Consider the following 21,762-nt stretch of genomic DNA (forward strand, 5'->3'; position numbering starts at 1 on the left):
TTAATAGGGGAAAAAAATCTAACAGTTGGACAATACAAAATTACATAACAATTTTCTAGTTCATATTTTAATACAGAAGGGAGTTTTAAGTTGGAATTTTTTTTTTTTTTTGAGACAGAGTCTCGCTCTGTCGCCCAGGCTGGAGTGCAATGGCACAATCTTGGCTCACTGCAACCTCCACCTCCTAGGTTCAAGTCATTCTCTTGCCTCAGCCTCCCAAGTAGCTGGGATTACAGGCGCCTGCCACCATGCCTGGCTAATTTTTGTATTTTTAATAGAGACGGGGTTTCGCTATGTTGGCCAGGCTGGTCTCAAACTCCTGACCTCAGGTGATCTACCCGCCTCAGCATCCCAAAGTGCTGGGATTACAGGTGTGAGCCACCAAGCCCGGCCCAGAATGTATTTTAAGCTGTTTAAAATGGAAGCATTTTATATATTCTATAAGACCTTCTAAAAAGAACTTGGAATTTGGAGCAGGGATAAGGCACTGTTATTTGGTAACGTGAAGTTTTTTTTCTTCAACTTTTAAGTTCCGGGTTGCATGTGCAGGATGTACAGGTTTGTTATATAGGTAAACGTGTGCCATGGTGGTTTGCTGCACATATCAACCCATCACCTAGGTATTAAGCCCAGCATTCATTAGCTATTCTTCCTGATGCTTTCCCTGTCCCCACAGACAGGCCCCAGTGTGCGTTGTTACCCACCATGCGTCCATGTGTTCTCATCATTCAGCTCCCACTTATAAATGACAACATGTGATGTTTGGTTTTCTGGGTAACATGAAGATGTTGTTGTCATGAAAACAGGTTTGATGACTATAGTGTAATAGTGTAATAAGGGCCTAACCTCAGAGACACTTTCACATTTGGATTTTTCTTTGCTTCCTAGATGTTATCTTTATTCCTGTTGCTTAAAGAACCAGTTTAATGCATATAGAATTTGGGTTCTTTGCCCAGACACCCAGAGGTACATTTGATAGGTACCTGATTCAGAGAAGGTGAAAATTTTAGATTCTCTATCTCTCTCTCTCCCTTTTTTTTTTTTTTTTTTTTGACAGGTAAACAGAAGTAACTATCATTTGGGGTTGTCAAGATATGGGTAGTAGATACCTAATTCCATGAATGCCTTCTCTGTGCAAGTGCTGGAAAGTAACCTCAGACTTCCAGACTCATCACTGAGATTCTTTTTCTTAAGCAAAATAGTGACGCTCTGCAGGATTTCTATAACTGAAGTTCTCTAAAAGATAAATTTATATTGCATTAAGAGGGTAGAGGGTAGTATTTAGAGCTATGCTCTCTTAAAAAGAGTAAAGAAATTTCATGTATATGAAGGAACAGAAAGCATGGGGATAAGTTTTATACACCCTAGAGTGGACTTTTATGATAAAAAGTAATTTACTTGTTAATCAATTTAATTCAGCAATGGGAAAAGATCTTTCTCTTCTTTCTGAAATCTTACACAGTGAAGGGATGAAAATGGTTATACTATTGGTAATCAGAGATGTTCCTATTTTGTTTTGATGTGTAGATTCCGTAGTACCTAGTGTTGTTGGATATTAAGAAAAATTCTAATCCCTGTTCTTGTGGGAATTGCACAAGGAGCAATGTAAACACAGGTAGTGGAGGTAGAGATGTGCTGTCGTCTACTTCTGCTCTAACTTGAGCAGCCACATCTCACTCAGGGTCATCCCATAGGATGTCCAGGCTGTGGTTGGAGAGAAGTGGGGGGATGAAGACGTGGGGTGCAATAATGGGAGGAGGATGGGCTTTGGGACCAGAAGGTTGTGAATTTGAGTTCTGGTCCATCTTCTTGGCAGCTGGGTCGATTAGGGTGGTGAATTAGCTGGCTGAATTACTTCACACATCAGAGCCTCACTTTCCTGGTTTGTAAAATGCAGATTGTGCCCCTCTCCCAGGGCTGCCATGAGGGTTAGGGAGGCCAGGAATTAAAACATGTAAACCATGCATTACACTGCATTTCAACCCCTGCAAGGGTGATGCAGCTAGCTTTACCTGATTTTACTTGGATTGTTTCTTTTTTTTTTTTGAGACGGAGTCTCGCTCTGTCACCCAGGCTGGAGTGCAGTGGTGTGATCTCGGTTCACTGCAAGCTCCACCTTCCGGGTTCACGCCATTCTCCCGCCTCAGCCTCCCAAGTAGCTGGGACTACAGGTGCCCGCCACCATGCCTGGCTAATTTTTTTTTTTTTTTGTATTTTTAGTAGAGACGGAGTTTCACCGTGTTAGCCAGGATAGTCTCGATCTCCTGACCTCATGATCCGCCTGCCTCGGTCTCCCAAGGTGCTGGGATTACAGGCGTGAGCCACCGCGCCCGGCCTGGATTGTTTCTTTAGTGAAGAAAAGACTGGGGAGAAGGGCACTTCTTAAAGCAATGTCAACAGCCTCTCATATAGTTAATACATCTCTATGTGGCCCTTCCCAGAGTGTCCTTCTGTGAGGAGATCCATTACAAATACAAAAAATTCATGTGGCCAGATAAGTTCTATGACCAGATAAGTCTGGCAAAAGCTGTTTATTATACCTGCCTCTTAAAGATTCACAAGGCTGAAAAGTCCTGAAGGAATGTAACTTTCTCTAACCCAGAATTTCACAAACTTATATGAAAACAAAATCTTTATTTAGTATGATAACCTATTGGCATCAATTCATATATTATTTCAGTAAATGTTGGAGACTTTCTGTGTGCCACAGACACCTTCACAGGCTGCTTCAGCGAGGACTGGGGGAGGGAGAGAGAGATGAGTAAAAAGATTGAAATGATGATTCCAGATCATGAGGGATACGTTGAATATAATAAATCAGTGTGGGTATTCTGGGTGAGAAGTGAGAGCTATTTCAGATCAGATGGTCATAAAAGGCCTCTTGAAGAGGTGATATTTGAGCTGGAATCTGAATAATTCAAGTTAACTGGCCTTGCAAAAATCTTGGAGGGTAGAACCTTCTAGGCAGAGATAAAAGCAAAGGAATTAGTGTTCTTGAGAGCACACTTTGAGGAAAGCTGTTGCAATAAGAGCAAAGAGCATGTATAAGAAGTATTTCAATCAAATTTTTATATACAAAATATGTAGTAAATCTTTTTCGAGCATTATGTGCTAGATACTATGTGCCACAGACACAGAGATGACAGTTACATTTAAAGAGTAGAGTAGTTCGGAGAAGAAAGACTCAACATCTAGGGGATTGAGTGATAAGTTGCATGGTGGAGGTAGCATGTTGTAGTGGCTGAGGTTAGAGCCAGACTGCCCAAGTTCAGGTCCTAGATCCGCCACTTACTTGATAACCTTGGGCAAGCTACTGACATCTGCATGCGAACACTGGGGACATTCCTAGTGCCTCTCAGTGGATTGTTAGTATATGCAAAGTTGTTAGGACAGTGCCTGGAACATAAGGACCACATGCTAAAATTGAAGATGATGATGTTAGAGATATTCCCGTCATAACCATCATCGTTACAGTTGTCATCACTGTAATCTTTTAGTGCCATGGTCCAGCTCAGATGCCTGAGTCTTCATGCCCTCCTAATGGGCCCCAGGTTTGCCCATCAGAGTCTTACACATGATCACCCACACCATGTAGGCACTATTCTTACCCAGCAAAGAGATTAAAACTTGCTTCATCTGTTTTCTACCCAATTTAACTTTGTTAACCACCCTCTTAAAAAGAAGTTTCTTGAGGATTTATCTCTGGTTGTCTTCCAGTTTGGGCGGCGGGTGGTGGGTGGTGATAGTTGGTAATAGGGTTGAGGTAGGATGGAATAAATCAGAATCTGCAATGAACCACTTGCTGGATAATTAGGGTAGATGAGAACCACAGGACTGTAATAAAAATGGATTATCATAACGATGACCCTACGGTGCTAAATGATGCACCATGTTCCTTTTGAATCAACAAAAGTTAAAGTCTTCCTGGAATAGTTTTAGTACATTATTGATCTCTAATTCTTAGAAAATTGGCAATCCATGTATAGAATAAGAAAGTCTCTATTGCTGCAAATATTCATAACCTGAAGAACCCATTCCCTAACCATTTTAGATAAATAAGATTTTTATAAAATTAAAGCAATTATTAAAATTCTATTTGTGCATGGAAGAAGCCATTTAGCTAACCAATTATATATCTAACTTCTGTAACAGCACTTCGGAATTAATCTAATTGCATCCTATTGAAAGTCAGTCACCTTTTGCAACATGACAATTTTATGCCAAGAGAATGAAAATGTCAGGTATTTCCATTACAGAGAGTCACATTTTCCCTTGATTGTTTCAGGCAGAAAGAAAGCGACTCAGATTAATCTGTTTAGAACTATTTTCAGTTATCTGTATATGTCATACATGCTGTCATGTTCTAAGACCACTTTGTTCTTGGATACTGCTTTCCAAAATCTATGGGATTCTACTCTTAAAAAAAAAAAAGAATATCTCGCTTTACATATCATTTTATTCTGGGGAAGCCTAATTAGCACATTAATATCAGAGAGCTGACAACCTCCTACATGTTATTTTAGGATTCCATGTGCAAGACCATATTATTCTAGTTATTTGAATGGCACGTATTCTCCACAGCTTGCTAACAGTAGTTTTGTCTTTTAAAATTTATGTGTTTCCAGTGTTTAGGGTCTGCTAAGGAGTGGGAGGTGAATGTGTCATCATAAAGAATGTTGCAGCAAATATATTTTGCAGGATACAGCCATTTCCATTTTTTGTAGTACAAAGATCCTATCATCCTGAAATCTTACATTGTAGATTGTGTTATGTGCTGCTTTTTATTTCAGTGAGATGAAAGTAATATTCTGAATGAGAAAAGAATTAGAGTAGCATTTCTCAAATGCCAGTTTTGAACCTAAGTTTAAAATAGAGAGATTTATCACTGAAAAGATTAAGAGAAAAGAAAGAACATTTATGGAATAGGGATTACACTAGGTATTTTCATAGAGGTATTTAATTCTTGCAGTCAACCTTCAAGATCTGTGAGATTTATCCATCACAAATAAATGTGTTCAGATTAAGTATGTGGCCTAGCAATTTTGTAAATTACTGTTTTTTACTTTGCATTTAACATTTATGTAATTCCAAGCCAATATTTTGAACCTACTTTTAACAGTTACATAAGACCTTTTAGAATGAATTTTGTATTTATCTTTTTTCTCCTGATTTTCTGGCCTTCATTTTTCTGCCAAATATTTTAAAAAATAGTGTTTTACTGTATGTTTTTAGATAAGCCACCTCATGCCATTCTTGATATAAGTTGTGGTTATTAAATTAATTTAATAAATTAACTAATTATAAACTTGGCCAAAGTCACACAGGTAAGAAATGGTAGGTCCAAATATATAAACCTAAATATGATAAATTTCCAAGTACTTGCTGTTCTCTTTGCACCTTGCTGCCTTATGGAATCAAGGTAAAAATAAAGAAAAAAATGTAAGTGCTTTGAAAGGGTTCACAGCTATTTGTATAACTAGAATATAATCTATTTTGAGCAAAGAGAATTGGGTTATATATCTTATTTCTAGATTGGGCCAAACCAGTAAGTCATTTTCGGTTTACAGGATTCAAATCAACATTGTATTAACATTAATGAAAATGCCAACTCCCATTCAGAGCAGATGAGCAACAGGTGATATCAGAGAGGACCTCTTAGAAAAAGCACCTTTTTTTTCTAGTAACTGCTGATTGTGTCCTACAACCTTCTGTGTTAATTAGCTTGAAGTGCCTCAATAATGCATCGGCCAGGTTGCCCAGAACCCTGCAAACATCTTTTCATCATCCCTCATGTTGTGGGCTTTCCTTAATAGGAAGGCAGATAACTTCAGATCTTTATGTCTCTTAGATTTTATAGTTTTGAAAAAGTGACAAGTCTTTTTGTCAATAGATGCCTGGGTCTTCTTATACTTCTGAAGAGAGGAAAATCAATCCAAAAGAAAACACAATAGATTCTAATTTTATGGACTGTTCATTAGGAAGTCTGGTTTTGCTTAAGACAACTGTGCTGGTCTAGAAGTTCATAGTATTTATTGATTTTTCTTCTTTCTGATGATCATTATTGCTATTTTGTAGCAATATTGATATTGTATAATATAAATTCTTTTTATTTTGCTAAAGGGAAGTGCTTCTGTATTCTTGAAAACTGAGAATCAAACAGTATTTAAAGTACTTTTTCTGGTTTATCCCCAGTGTCTGTCATAGGGCATAGCTCTAAAGAAGTTCACTCAGATATCAAGGGTGAATGAAAATTCTCTGAAAGAGAAGTACAAATTATTGTGGGTCCAACTCTTTACCATACATTATAGAAGGCAGAGAAACCATGACCACCTAAACTTGTAGGACACTGTGGGGAGAAGAGCCTATGAAGTTGATTCCTAATGTAGGTCTGCAGTGGCCATGGAGCTGAGAAATCACCGAAATGGGGAGGAGGAGGAGGGATCTGTCTGCCTAACTTCAGTAATATTATTGCCTTTTCTTAGATAACCCTCTTCACTCTTTTCTGTCTCCTCAATCCTTATCTAGCTGTCAAAGTCTCGTTCAAATCCTGCCTCCTCCAGGAAATCTTATCTGCTCACTACAACTCAAACTGATTTGTTGACCTGGCCATTTACAGCATTTGTTTGACCATACCACCTGGCCCTTAAGGCTGCCTGGCGTTTTCTAATAAAAGCTATCATTTTTCTGAATACAGACTATTTGCTTGCTTTTATTTCTTAGCAGCTCCATGAGATACATACTATCATTGTCCCAAATTTATATTGTCTGTCTCTCCCTTCACATCTATTAATATTTGCTTTATGTATTTAGGTGTGCTAATGTTAAGTGCATATATATTTATAATTATTCTCTTGATGAACTGTATCCTATACTACTATATAATGACCTTCTTTATCTCATTTTACAGTACTTAAAGTATATTTTATCTGATACAAATATAGCTACCCTGAAAGTATAGCTCTCTTTTGATTTCAATTTTCATGGATTTTTTTTTTTTTCATTTCTTTACTTTCCGTCTATGTGTCCTTACAGGTGAAGCGAATCTGTTATGGACAGCAATAGTTAGGTCTTGTTTTTTTTTTGAGACGGAGTCTCGCTCTGTCACCCAAGCTGGAGTGCAGTGGCGCAATCTAGGCTCTGCAAGCTCCGCCTCCTGGGTTGACACCATTCTCCCACCTCAGCCTCCTAAGTAGCTGGGACTACAGGCGCCCGCCACCACGCCCAGCTAATTTTTTGTGTTTTTAGTAGAGACGGAGTTTCACCGTTAGCCAGAATGGTCTCGATCTCCTGACTTTGTGATCCTCCCGCCTCGGCCTCCCAAAGTGCCGGGATTACAGGCGTGAGCCACCGTGCCCAGCCAGGTCTTGTTTTTTTATCCATTCAACCACTGTGTATTTTTTGAGTGGAGAATTTAATCCATTTACATTCAAAGTAATTATTGACAGGTAAGGACTTATTATTGCCATTATGTTCACTACTTCCTGGTTGCTTTATAAATCCTTCATTCTGCTCTTCTCTCTTGCTATCTTTTTTATGATTAGGTGATTTTCTCTGCTGCTATGCCTTGATTCCTTATGATTTAAATTTTGAGTATCCTCCTTAGGTTTTCTTTGTGGTTACCGTTAGGTTTATATACAACATCATCTAGTTATAACAGGCTATTTTAAGTTGATAACAACTCAGATTGCATTAAAAAACTACACTTTTGCTCTACTTCCTCCCACATTTTACGCTTTTGATGCCACAATTTATATTTTTATATTGTGTATCAACAAATTACATTGTAGCTATTATTTAAATAATTTATATTTTAACCTTCATACTAAAGTATAAGTGATGTATACACCACTATCACAGTATTATTCTGAATTTGACTGTGTACTTTTACCAGTAAGTTTTATGCTTTCATATGTTTTCATATTACTAATTAGCATCCTTTTCTTTCAGCTTGAAGAACTCCCTTTACTATTTCTTATAAGACAAGACTAGTGGTGATTAACTCCCTCAGCTTTTGTTTGTCTGGGCAAGTCTTTTATCTCTCCTTAATTCTGAAGCACAGCTTAGCCAGGTACAGTATTCTTGGTTGGTGATTTTTTTCTCTTTCAGCACTCTGAATGTATCATCTCACTCTCTCCTGGCCTGTAAGGTTTCTGCTGAGAAGTCTACTGCCAGTCTTTCTGGAACTCCCTTATATGTTATTTGCTTCTTTTCTCCTGCTTTCATGATCCTCTTTTTGTCTTTGATTTTTGACAGTTTGATTATAGTATGTCTTGGTGTAGTCTTGTTTGGATTGAATCTGAGTGTAGATTGTTGGCCTTCCTGTACCTGGATATTTATATCTTTCCCTAGATTTGGAAAGTTTTCTGCTTTTACTTCTTTAAATAAGCTTACTGAGCCTTTGACTCTCTTCTTCAATTCAGTTCAAATATTTGCTGTTTTGATGCTGTCCCATAAATCCCAGAAACTTCCTTTGTTCCTTTTCTTTTTTCTCCTCTGTATATTTTCAAATAACCTGCCTTTAATGTTACAGATTTTTACTTCTGCTTGAGCAGTTCTGCTGCTGATGCTCTCTATTGCATTTTTCATTTAACTCATTGTATATTTCAGCTTCAGAATATTTGTTTGAATTTTAAAAGATACTTTCATTTTTTCTGTTGTTTCTCATTTTGATCATTTATTGTTTTCTTGACTTTATTGAATTATTTCTCTGCATTTAAGTTTCCTTAAAACAATTATTTTGAATTCTGTGTCAGACAGTTCATATATCTCCATTTTGGCAGGGGGCAGCTCCTAGGAGATCTTTTGTGTTCTTTTGGTGGTATTATGTCTCTTTGTTTTTCATGTTTTTTGTTGCTTTATGTTAATAATCTGTGCATTTGAAGAAGTAAGGACTTATTCCAGACTTTGCATACTGGGATTTTCTGGGGAAGCCTTTCACCAGTCAGCTCATCCAGAGATCCAGAGATTCTGAGCAGGTCATCTGGTGTGGTCCTCTGGCAGACTTACTACTGGAGCCCTTGGACTTTGTGCCTGGATCAGCAGGTGGGTGGGCCTGGTACCTGGGTCTCTGGGTCTGTCGGGTTGGACCTGGAGCCTTGGATCCCCTGTTCATTGGATCTGTAAGGGTAGGTCTGGAGCCCGTATCCTCAGAGGTTGATCTGAAGCCTGGGGGGCTGACCTGGTCCTGGGGTAGGTCTTGAGTGTGACCTTGAGAGGCTGACCACGTACTGGGATGGGCCTGGTACCCAAGTCTGCAGGGTTGGTCCTGGGGTAGGTCTTGAGTGTGAGTCTACAGAGGCTGACCACGTACTGGGATGGGCCTGGTACCTAAGTCTGCAGGGTTGGTCCTGGAGCCTTGGTTCATGGGTCCAGCTTGTCAGCAGGGTCTGCTGGGCTGGGCCTGGACCCTGGGTCTGCTGGAGCATGGGGCTGCAGGGACTTTATTCTGTTCTTCTCTCTTGCTGTCTTTTTTTTATGATTAGGTGGTTTTCTCTAGTGGTATGCTTTGATTTCTTACTGCAGGGACCAGATTGGCACTGGGAAATCTTGAAGCCTATGTCCAGAGTTGCCAGCCTGGTGCCTCAGACCCAGTCCAATGACAGGTTAGCCAGCTGAATGACAGACCCATCCCCTGTCACTGGGCTGGGTCTGAAGTCTGGGGCTGTGGTCTGAAGTCTGGGGCTGTGTAGGGCAATCTGGCCCTGGGATGGTCTGAAACCCGGGGTGGAACCTGGGGTCATAGAGGCTGGCCTGGTGCTGGGTGGCATGGAGCCTATACCTGCAGAGGCTGGCCTCATGACTAGGGCTGCAGGGCCAGCTTGGTAGCTTGGGTGGGCATGAAGTCTGGGGCTAATGGGGCTGTTGGGGTTGGCCTGGTGGTGGGGCAGGTCCAGAGACAGCCTGCCAGGCTAGCCTAGAGCCTGGGGCTGCAGGATCCTGCCTGGTGCTGGGAAAGACTCGGAGGCTCAGTCCACAGATAGTTACCATCCTGGAACCTGGAACCTGGAACCTCAGGGGCTGGCCTGGCACTGGGTGGGCCTGGAGCCTGTATCTGCAGTCAGGAAGCAGGGTCTGCAGGTGCAAGCCTGATGACAGGCTGCAGGGGATAGCCTGGTGCTGGCTTTTATTGAGGCAAGCTTCATTTTGCCGGCAGATCCAAAGCAAAGTCTAGTGCTTATTTCTCTCTCCTTCCCCCATACTGAGGATACCTTGCTTTAAGCTGTGCTGCCTGGGGTTGGGAGTGGGGTGATGCAAGTGATGTCAAACTGTCCTTCCTACCTTCTTCAATGCTACATCCAGGTGCTGTAATCTCTCACTTGGTTTCCTTAGTTCTTGTGAAAGGTGTTTTTCTATGTGGATGGTAGTTCAGATTGATATTTCTCTTGGGTGGGGGTGATGTGTACTGGAAAGTCCTATTCCTCCATTTCTTTATATCTGTCTCAAATTGTCCCAGATTTACAGATGAAGAAACTAAAGTTCAGCAAACTTGAATATCTTGCCAATGACACAAAACTATTTAGTAGAGCCAAGGTTCAAACTTCAGTCTTTGTGAATTCAGAGGTTGCTTGCTTCCACTGTGCAGATGTGGAATATCAAACTAGTCTTTAGATTCTGCGAGATTTTTCTTTCTCTCTTATGTTCTAAGAAATGGGAGGTAGAAAAGAACAGTGATGGGTGAGGGAGAACTGTCCTTGAGTCTGCACCCTCCACAGGAATTTTGTTGCTGGGGAAGGTTGGGGAGGGGCTGTGGAGAGAGGGTCCTTAGTGCCCAGCTGAAAGTATTTTTCCCACTGGAGTGGTTCCAGATTTACCAAACTGCCATGAAACTTGCAACCAAGGTGTGACACTACCCCTGGCTACAATTGTCTACCGTTGCCAGGCCTTTGGAAACTGCTGCTTTTGCCACCAGGGCCTTTGTGCAAAAGGGCACTTTGCTTTCTGTCCCTGTGGCCATCACCAGCTTCCCATTGATAGCTCCTGTCTATAACTGTTGGGGTTTACCATCCAACAAGCGGACTCTATATCAGCTCTCTTCACCTGTGTTGTCTTGTATGTTGCTGTGTGTCTAAGGTGTGATAATTTGCCCTTTCTTCACTTGTTTTTCATAGCTGTCTAATTTATATTGTTTTGAGTACCAGGACTGTGCAGTGGGCTCCAGAACTTTCTCCAAAGGGAATCTGTTGCCATTTAACTGGGGCTGTTCTAGTGTGTGCTACCCAAGAATGCCCCTTTATATGCTTTTTAAAAATCTTAATTCAAAAATACATTTTTTGTGAAAAATACAAAAAAGAATAAAATAATTACCACCCAAAGACAACTTGCTAAATTTAGTATATATTATTCCAACATTTTCTACATTTATGTATATATATTACATAAAGAAAACATACTTTTTAAGTAAAATGGCTTGTTTTGTACCTATAGCTTAGTGTCCTGACTTTCTCTCGAAACCATCTTTCATACCATTAAATATTTTCCATATCGTTTAGTAGTAAAATTGTTCAGCTAATCCTCTATTAAGGTTGTTTCTCACCTCTCTGATGTTGTAAACAGTTCTGTGGTAAGAGTTGATGTAGCTAATTCTTTGTGCACCTTCTTAAATATTGTACTTTTCTCCCCTTTCTGGTTTATTTTTTAAGTAATATGTATAAATGAGGGAAGTAACTAAGTTGCTCTCCCTACTGATCCACAGGGTCATGATTTCTTTAGGGTACATTTCTAGTATTTTAATTGTTGGATCAAAAAGTATGCAAAATTTTAAGTCATTTGCATTTTAGAAAGGTTATGTAAGTTTACTCTTTTACCAATAACTGAACACCTTTGTGGACAATGGATATTTTCATTTCAGATTTTGTCAACTTCATAGGTGAAAAACGAATCTCATTTTTTTAACTTATATTTTTAAATTGCTAGTGAAGTTGAACGTCTTTTTTATTTACAAATTGGTCATTTGGATGTTTCTTATTTTGTAAATTGCCTGTTTGTTTTTTCCTGTTTTTTACCATTGATGTGTTTATGTGTTCCTATTGATTTGTAAGAGTTCTCTAGGGGAGGGGACTTGGATTTAAGAATATTAACAATTTGGGTGTCATAAATATTAGTTACTCCCCCCAGTTGTTTTGTTTTTATTTTATTTGTGATATTTTAAAATATTATTCAAGGTTACAAAAGATGTAATAGTTAAAAATGAAAAGTATAATCATGCTGTTTTCTTATTTTCTACCTAACAGCATTAGAAAATATACAATTCTTTATATTTTTGTTTTAGCAATAGAAAATTTCTATGCACTTCTTGATAGAAAAGATGTGAATTTGACTTACCCTTTCCCATTTGCCTCTTATCCTATTAATATTTGATATTTTAAAAATTCTGGTTATTTATCCTTATGACTTGAAGTAACTCACCTAATTCTATTTTGTACTCCATTATCATTCAGCGGCATCTCTTGACTGTCTACTTTATAAAATGAGAATATTAGCACCTTTATCCCTTCTTACCCCCTCCTCCGCACCCGCAGACTGAGCCCAGAGCATTTCCAGGAGTTTCTTCTTCCTCCATAATCTACACAGGACAGGCTTTCATCTCCACTGCAGCTCTTTCGCTGGTTCATCTCCCAGCTGGCTCTCATCTGCTTCCTGTCGTTCCAGCCCGTCTCTTCCCTGTTACAAGTTATCCTCCTTGTACCTCCGTCTTTTTATTTAAATGGTTCTCTAAAGATGAAAGGCAAATGTGCCTAGCTTGCCATCTTGAGCTGAACATTGCAGTGCTTTGTATATATAGAAATTTTAAAATTTTTATGTGGTGAAACCTGCAAGTGATTCCTTTTGGTTTCCACCTTTGCCGCCATGTTTAGAAAGTCTTTCTCCAATTTAAGATTATGTTTTCTTTAGTACTTTTGTGAATTACTTCTTACTTTGAAATCTTTGTTCATTTCTAGAATTTATTTTGGTGGGTAGAATAGTTTAGAGATTCATCTTTTGTTCAAATGGTTAGCCAACTACTCAGTATCATTTATTAAATAATACAAAGTTTTGAAGTACTGAATTCTTACATATATTTGTGCCCGTTGCTGAGCTTTGCTTCTTTAACCTGTCTCTGATGCACACTGGTGCCAAACTTTTAATTATTGCCATTTCAGAATTTTAATATCTGGAGGGCAGGTCTTCACCACCATCCCCCGACATCATTGTTCTTTATCAAAATGTTTTTAGCTGATGTTGTATTCTCTCTTCCCTGCTGCAAAAGGAGTTTACTGTAGTATACACGTTTGAATGAGGCTGCCTTGGTCAGCCCACGTCTTAGCTCTTCGTCAGTATTTCTTTCTAGCTAGGCAGAAAGAGTAAAACTTCTGTGTAATACTAGTTCCCTGTTCCACCCAGGTTTTGTATTCACTTGCTTTTAGGTCTAGGACTGGAGAATGCAGTACATGCCAATAATTCTAGTCTTCTCTGATCTGTGAACATATACCTTCACTGACATTTGTGTAGTTACTTGGAGCCAAAAGGAAAATTGTCACTTAGCCAGATTTCACTCTCAACATTTCACGTCTCCTTCCACTACCTGACACCTGCTAGTACCTCCCAGTCACCCAATCTGATCTCCTAATCTCTGGCATCTGACCCAGCCTCCATCACTGCCTCCCTCAGGAATGTGTAGATGGCCTTCAGGCCATTTCGTCAGGCTCCCTCTTTCCCACCCTACCTGCCAGTCTATCCTTCGCCTGCCTGCCTTCCTTTCCGGGTGCCAGCACAAAGTTTGTGACCTCAGGTGCCTTTGTGCTCAGGCAGAATTAGGCACCTAGCAATTTACGAAACACTCATGGCTGGGTGCAGTGGCTGACGCCTGTAATTGCAACACTTTGGGAGGCCGAGGCAGGTGGATCACGAGGTCAGGAGTTCCAGACCAGCCTGAGCAACATGGTGAAACCCCGTCTCTACTAAAAATACAAAAATTAGCTGGGGGTAGAGGTGCGTGCCTATACTCCCAGCTACTCAGGAAGCCGAGGCAGGAGAAATCGCTTGAACCCGGGAGGCCGAGGTTGCAGTGACCTGAGATCGTGCCACTGCACTCCAGCCTGGGCAACAGAGCGAGACTCCGTCTCAAAAAAAGAAAAAAAAAAAAAGAAATACTTATTTAATTATGCTTACCTAGAAACATTGCAGCATCAACATAACTGGCTCCAGCCAGAAGAATGAGTACTTGTTTCCTGGCGGGAAGGATGCCAAGAAACCTATGCTTCGGAGTCTCTGTGGGCACAGAGCCTGTGTTTGAGGCAGATGGAATTTCATCCGTCGGAAATTTACCGTCATTGACTCTTTCCTAAACATACTTAGAGCTAACTGAAAAATGGTCACCTTTGCACTTTTGCACAAATCTCTATCAAAAGCCAGGGAGAACAGAAAATCTCTTTTACTACTTTTTTATTTTCCTTTTTTTTTGGAAACAGGGTCTTGCTCTGTCGCCCAGGCTGAAGTGAGATGGCGCCATTTTGGCTCACTGCAGCTGCCGCCTCCCGAGTCCTAGCGATCCACCTGCCTCGGCCTCCCAAGCAGCTGGGACTACAGGCTAAATTTTTTTTTTTGTAGACACGGGGTTTCACCACGTTGCCCAAGCTGGTCTGGAACTCTGGGCTCAAGCGATCCGCCCACCTCGGCCTCGCAGCGTACTAGGATTGCAGGGGTGAGCCACCATGCCTGGCCTACTTTTTCCTTTTACGTTTGCTGATTTTTGTCCCATCCTTCTTTTTGATTCTGCAACAAAAAAATTAAAATGTTAAATATTAAATATCTTTTGTAGAAGATACTTTATTAAAATTCTATTTCAGTGCTATCAAGTGGAAAAATAAATGCAAGTCACATTTATAATTGTAAATTTTCTAGTAGCCATATTAAAAATAGCTTTAAAAACCCAGGTGAAATTAATTTTAACATTTAAGCTAGTGTATTCAAAAGAATGTATCAGCGTGTAATCAATCTTAAAAAATATTGAGATGCCTTACATTCTTTTTTTTTTCCATTTGATATCTGATGTGTATTTTATACTTCCAGTACATCTCAATTTGGGCCAGCCACATCTCAAGTACTCAATAGCTACATATGAAATCACTTTACCTCCAAATTCTGAGTGATTTTACTAGTGACTTTATATTGGAAATAACCACATCTAGAAGTTCTTATCTAGGGATGCATGTTCAGAATCACCTGGAAGCTTTTTCTAAATATGCATTCCTGCCTGTACCCTCACTAGATCTGTTAAGGTAAAAATCTCTGCTCTGTGTGAGCCTGGGCATGTGTGTCTTGAGAAAGGTACATAGGTGATATTGACAAGTACATTTAATTAAAAACCACTAAGATGATCCAGCTTCTTCAGTCTACCTATGACTAAACACGTCCTGTGTGATCAAACAGCTTTCCCACAGAGAGTAATGATACAGACCTCAGTCTTCCATTCACAAATCTGGTGTCCTTTTTGCCTCATCATTTCTAACATATAGGATAAGAATGTAGACTAATATTATACACAGATTTGTTCAATAACAAGAGTCAGCAACAAAAGGGAGTTTCAAGTTACTCTTTAGATTATCAGGAAATTTAATGTAAAATATCCTACCTGCACATGTGTGCACGAGCACGTGTGCACACACACACACATTGTCTAAATAGTCTTGTTAATTGAAGTTTCATTGTGATGGGCATGACCGTGTAGATTTTATATGCATTTCCATGTTCTTGATACCTTTTAGACTCACCTCATAGATTATACTTTTCTGAAACTGCTTTTAAAAATCTATATCAAAATAGATACCAAGGGCTATTATAATTATTTTAGTATATCTCTGGACATCATAACCAAATACAAAAGTTCTTCAGCCTGTCAGTTTTCAAAGTGTCAGCTCTGGATTTTTCAGGTTAAAATTTCATATCTTTAATAACAAGGCTGCCAGATATCAGCAGGCAGTGTGGTTGACTACTCTGTAATTTAATGGGAGTTCTTCATAGGTGAGTCACAGTGGCTTTCTTCTCTTTCTTTCACATGGTGCTGACAAGGACAGCACACGTGCTATACTGAAAGATAGTAAGTCTCAGAAAGGTCATCCAAAGGTAATTTGTGGATTATTTTTGATGAGTTGGAGATATGGAGAAAAATGTTTGCTCTTTAACACTTAATTTTGTATGAAGTGACCAAACTTAGATTATCTAGTTTTATTTCATGCAAGTGAATTTAACAATTAAATATTTTCATAGTTCTTTAATCCGTATGCTTATTAAAAATCAACTTAAGTCTACAAAAGTCACAAGTAATTAACAAGCCTGTTAAATAAAATAATGATATCCATAATAGCCTACAAATAACTACTAGAATTTTTAAAAAGCATTTTAAAGGTCCAAAACGTTTAAACAGGTTATTTAGCAGTAATCAGGATGGTTATATGACACTCACTTGAAAGAGGCTTCAGTTTAGATTATCTAGACTAACTGTCTTTTTACAAATGGAAAATTCAGAGAGATCCAAAGAGATGAAGGGATTAACTCCACTCACATAGAGATTCCCTTCCAGTGCTAGTTTGCCACTGTCTTCTGACTCACTTCAGTTGGCTTTTTTTTTTTTTATCAGCTATGATGACTTTCTTTTGCTAGAATGTAATATCATGTTAAGGTATAGTGATTTGCTTATAATAAAATGATTTAAAATATTTTGACACATGTCTATTGGACATATCAATACAACAGAACAAAGACAATAGCCCCATGACTTCAGTGCTTCAGAGTTCCATGTGTGTTTCCTTCCGTGTGTCTAACATAGGACATTAAAGAGCATGATCATTTCTTCAAAAATAGGTTCCTTCAAGCTGAGTACAAGATCCAAATTTTAAAAATACCTTTTGTGGAAAATACTAAAACTTGGAACCACAACCTTGTTTCTCTCTTTTAACGTAATTGCTCACTTCATGAAAAAAAAATCCCCTTTGGACAAATGGATGTAATTGTATATGTAATGCACTGGGAAGTATGAGTTACTATTGATTAACTTGTATTAAATATCTGAGAAAAAGGTATGTATTTTATTTGTAATTTTAAGTTGACGAGATGATAAATAGAAAACCCCTTATTTGGAGTTCCCTGATGTATTCTTAGTGGTCAAGACCCTTAAAACAAAAAATGTGATTTCTCGTTTTACATTCTCCTCCTTTCTAGTTTTTTTTTCCTTCTTATGCAGAACAGAGATTTTATTGTAGAATTAAAACTGATAAACCTGATCCCTCAGCTCTGTGCTATTTTGTTTACCCCATGAGGAGTTGCTCCCCATAAACCTGAGAGTTTGTTAGAAGGTACCTTGTTCAGAAGATTATCAGGTTTAAGCAATTGCCATTCAAGAGAGTAAAGAAGAACTAGTCTGGAAGCTGGCAAGAAAAAAAAAGTTGTTATTTCTAAGTCAATGTTTGTAGAACAATTGCCTGGTTAGGCAATGAGACAGTAGTGTTTAATACAATTGAGCTGTGGTGTATAATATGAGTAGTCATACACTCTTTTGTAAGAGTCTTGGATTGATATTTTTGTTATACTTTGCAATCAAATAAAGGAGGCTGTTTGCACATATCCTGAAAACGATTTGATAACTATATAGTGATTATTTCTCGGTAATTTTTGAAGGTCTACTAACCAAAAAATTCTAATAAAATTCACTCTTATGAAATTAAAGATTAAGTCACAAAAATACAACTGTTTAGATAAATATTCAAGCACTGACAGGCATATAGCACCTCAGTTCTGTTTGTTTGCTGGCCATTATGTTTTTACCAGCTTTTGTTTTAAAAGTCTCATCTTTCTCCTTGATTAAATTAAATGAACATCCTTTCCTGTTACTCCAAAGGATTCCTTATAATTTTTTTATAGCACCTTTGATTTTAGACTGAGGGCTTTTAGATAGACTTAAATAGATTCTTCTACTGTATGTTTCTGAAATATTGGCCCCTGTACTTTACCAACATACATTTCACTTTATAAAGTTAATGTAAGGGCTTTTCAGTGACTCCAGGCAAACCTCAAACAATCTCTGATTTGCAAAAAGATCAAGATGCCTCTGGAAATAACACACAACCCAGTGTTGTTATTATTATTTTTTTGCAAGACCTAACTAGAGAAGTGATCATTATACTGTATATTCTTTAATCTTGATGTTTTTAAAGAAGTTTAAGTGTTGTATCCTTTAAGCAATTAAGTTCAGTTCAAAAGACAGAATAAATACAAAGCTCTTTAAAAAAAAAAAAAACCCTTAAGAGACCACATTGTGGTAAGTATTTCAGCCTCTGGATTTTGATAAACTAGAAAGCTTTATTTTGAGGAGTCATTAACTTGCAATTTGGCCCAGATCACTCTGTAAGGTCATGGTAGCTTCAGACCCCTTATCTCTAACTAGCCTGCCCGCTGGGACAGAAAGTGTGTTCCAAGAGAAAGAGCAAGATCTCTATGATTAGATTGAGTCTACAGGGGACTGAGAGCCCTAAGAAAACTTCAGATTTTAAGAAATCTTCAAAGAGAAAAGAGACTTAACAGATCCAGATGAGCCATGGGAACAGTGAAGTGCTTGGTGCATGTATATATAAGTTCTCAATAGAGCTGTTTCAACCACTAGTCCAAATTCAACTTCTCAAGCCTGGTAGAGTCAAATTTCTGGCACTTGGCAGCAGAGAGTTTATAGAATGCCTTGATGGAATCAAGTAGTAACCTGTCTTCCTTGTCTTCCTTTTGCTTCCAAACTTATGACTTGGATTTTTTTTTTTTTTTAATGCTCTTTCCAGCCCTAGTAGTGACAGCATTTTCCAAAATGTTACTCAAAACCTCTCAAATAGCAGAGGCAGTACCAACACATCCTGGCATCTAGCCTACGGTCGTGCTTCAGGAATACACTGACTGCCTTGGTGATGGCCAAATGCCAGTTCTTATAGTTAAGTTGTGGCTTGGACATGTGGACCCATTCCTTTCTGTAATCCTATCATGATCCCCTGCTTTCTTTCTTCCCTACCAGAATCTAAGCTCCTGGAAAGCAAATGCTATGACTTTTATCTCTTGTATTCCCACAGCCATGTTGGCTAGAAATATGGTGGATACACAAAGAAAGTTAGTTGAAAGAACAAATCCAACTATCCAAGAGGTTCTGAATACCCACTGGCCCCACCACCAACCTCTGCTCTTCTTCTTCTTTTTTTTTTTTTTTTGATATGGAGTCTTGTTCTGTCGCCCAGGCTGGAGAGCAGTGGTGTGATCTCGGCTCACTGCAATATCCGTCTCCTGGATTCAAGCGATTCTCCTGCCTCTACCTTCCAAGTAGCAGTGATTACAGGCGTGTGCCACCATGCCTGGCTACTTTTTGTATTTTTAGTAGAGACGGGGGTTCACCATGTTGCCCAGGCTGGTCTTGAACTCCTGACCTCAGGTGATCCGCTGCCTCGGCCTTTCGAAGTGCTGGGATTGCAGGTGTCAGCCACCATACCCGGCCTGCTGTTCTCCTTTTAATGCACCCAAGTCCTGGGGAACCCGACTGGGGATCAGAGCTGTGAGCTGGGGGAGGGCCCGTTGTTTTGACCCTAAGACCTAGCCTGACTTGAGAAGTTTCAGGATGTGGAATTTCATCAGGCTCAAGGAATCCTTTCAAGGAGCATTCTGACAATAGAACCATATAAAATCCACTCTTCTTTTTGTCAATTATTTTGAAACTGTTCCAGTAATTAAGATTGAGCTAGAAAATATGAACTACATTTTTACAAATACTCAGACCTTCAAAACAGGCTTTAAAAGGCCGGGTGCAGTGGTTCACGCCCGTAATCCCAGCACTTTGGGAGGCCAAGGCGGCAGATTGCTTGAGCCCAGGAGTTCGAGACCAGCCTGGGCAACATGGTGAAACCCCTTCTCTCTCTAAAAATAAAAAAATAAAAATAAAGAAATCAGCCGGGCATGGCAGCATGGGCCTGTAGTCCCAGCTACTTGGGAGGCTGAGGTGGGAGGATGGCTTGAGCCTGAAAAGCAGATGTTGCAGTGAGCTGCGATCACACACTCCAGCCTGGGTGACAGAGCAAGACTCTGTCTAAAAAAAAGCCCACAAGCTGGCTTTAAAGTGAACTAATAATGATGTCTATGTTATGATTCTATATGATATTTGAATATGTTCACCCTTTTCTCTTTTAATATTGTTTCAACTACTGATTTACTTTAGCAAACACTTTCTTCATTAAAAGTGCAAAGGTAAACTTAAACCATCCAAATAATCAGCCAAATCAGTCGAATCTACATGAAATATACAACAATCTAAATGCTTAAAATAGATAAGTACAATAGTGGAGGGCGTAATGTGTTACTGGGCTTTTGACATCAAGGACGTCTGTGTTCGAATCCTGACTTTGTCAGTTGTTAGTACCAGTTGTATTGACTTAGATAAATCATTTCACCTTTCCAAGTCTCAGTGTTTTCTTTTATAAAAACTATGGTTGTCAGGAGGATTTTGTGAGATAATTATATATGAAAGAACCTACTAGGATGTATTCTTTAGTAAACATTCAGTATTTGGCTCTCTATTTGGCAACTGAGTGGTGGTTGTGTTCCCCAGGTGTGAGGGTTCCTGGGCTGGGCTGGGGCTACTGTCTTGTAGTTTCAGTAATTTGGTTTCTTGTGTACTATTCATATATATATATATATATATATTTTTTTTTTTTTTTTTTTGGAGACGGAGTCTCACTCTTGTCCCCCAGGCTGGAGTGCAATGGCGCAATCTCGGCTCACTGCAACCTCTGCCTCCCAGCTTCAAGTGATTCTCCTGTCTCAGCCTCCCGAGTAGCTGGGACTACAGGTACCTGCCACCACGCCTGGCTAATTTTTGTATTTTTAGTAGAGACGAGGTTTCACCATGTTGGCCAGGCTGATCTTGAACTCCTGACCTCGGGTGATCCGCCTGCCTCGGCCTCCCAAAGTGCTGGGATTACAGGTGTGAGCCACCATGCCTGGCCCTTATTATATATTTTTATATACTTTAGAAAATTTGATCTGCGGAAAATCTGGTTCTTGTTTTTTGGCCACATTATCAGATCAGTCACTCATCTACTGTAAGTACATTAAAAAGAATACATGGTCACTTTGCCCAGTTAACCAGAGAATGGTGCCATTAAGTTAAAAAATGCATATACATGTATAGGCATGATCCTCATATAGATTAGTTTTGTTAGCTGCACAGTCACAGATCAAATCCTGAGTTATTACCCTTCTTACAGAAGGGTGTGTCGCTTGTTCATGGTGGGGACAAGGTTGTCAGTGAGGATAGCTTGATAGTAATAAACTATTACTACCATTGGAAGAACATTTCAAAATACAATATTATGCATCCTACTTAGGTTATTTTCACTTCATATGGTAATAGTCCATTAATTTACCCTAATAATATTTAGTAGATTTTGACATCTACTAGAACATAAGGTTGAAGTGAAAAGCATGTTTTAGTTTGTGCATTTTAAAACAATTTTCTACGAAAGAAAACCAAAATTACCTTCCATAGCTTTCTTATTTAAATTGGACTTAATATTTCTATTGTTTTTAAGATTCAACTCTTGGAATCTTCTACATTTCTTTGCCTAAGTAATAGGGGATGGTTTATGTTTTTTGCCATTCATAATTTTTCTTAAACCTTCATACCCACATTTAGCCATATGCGCTTTAAGACACACAGTGAAGATGAAATTTAATACACATCAAACTTCTGTGCAGACTTGGTGAGAA

At 39.1% G+C, this 21,762-nt stretch overlaps 1 protein-coding gene across 10 annotated transcripts in view; it reads left to right on the plus strand.

Annotated features, from left to right (window-relative positions):
* GALNT7 (polypeptide N-acetylgalactosaminyltransferase 7) overlaps nucleotides 1–21,762 on the plus strand; it is a 155,157-nt gene that overhangs the window by 27,221 nt on the left and 106,174 nt on the right. For 5 of the 10 annotated variants that reach the window (XM_047415779.1, XM_047415778.1, XM_011532025.4 and 2 more), the window contains exon 1: nucleotides 1,054–8,068. The exons of the other annotated variants lie outside the window; for them this stretch is intronic. The gene's annotated coding sequence lies outside the window, so the exon portion shown is untranslated. Of the gene's footprint in view, nucleotides 1–1,053; nucleotides 8,069–21,762 lie in introns of those variants that run through there. 10 annotated transcript variants of the gene reach the window in all.

Source organism: Homo sapiens, chromosome 4, assembly GCF_000001405.40.
Source record: "Homo sapiens chromosome 4, GRCh38.p14 Primary Assembly".
NCBI lineage: Eukaryota > Metazoa > Chordata > Mammalia > Primates > Hominidae > Homo > Homo sapiens.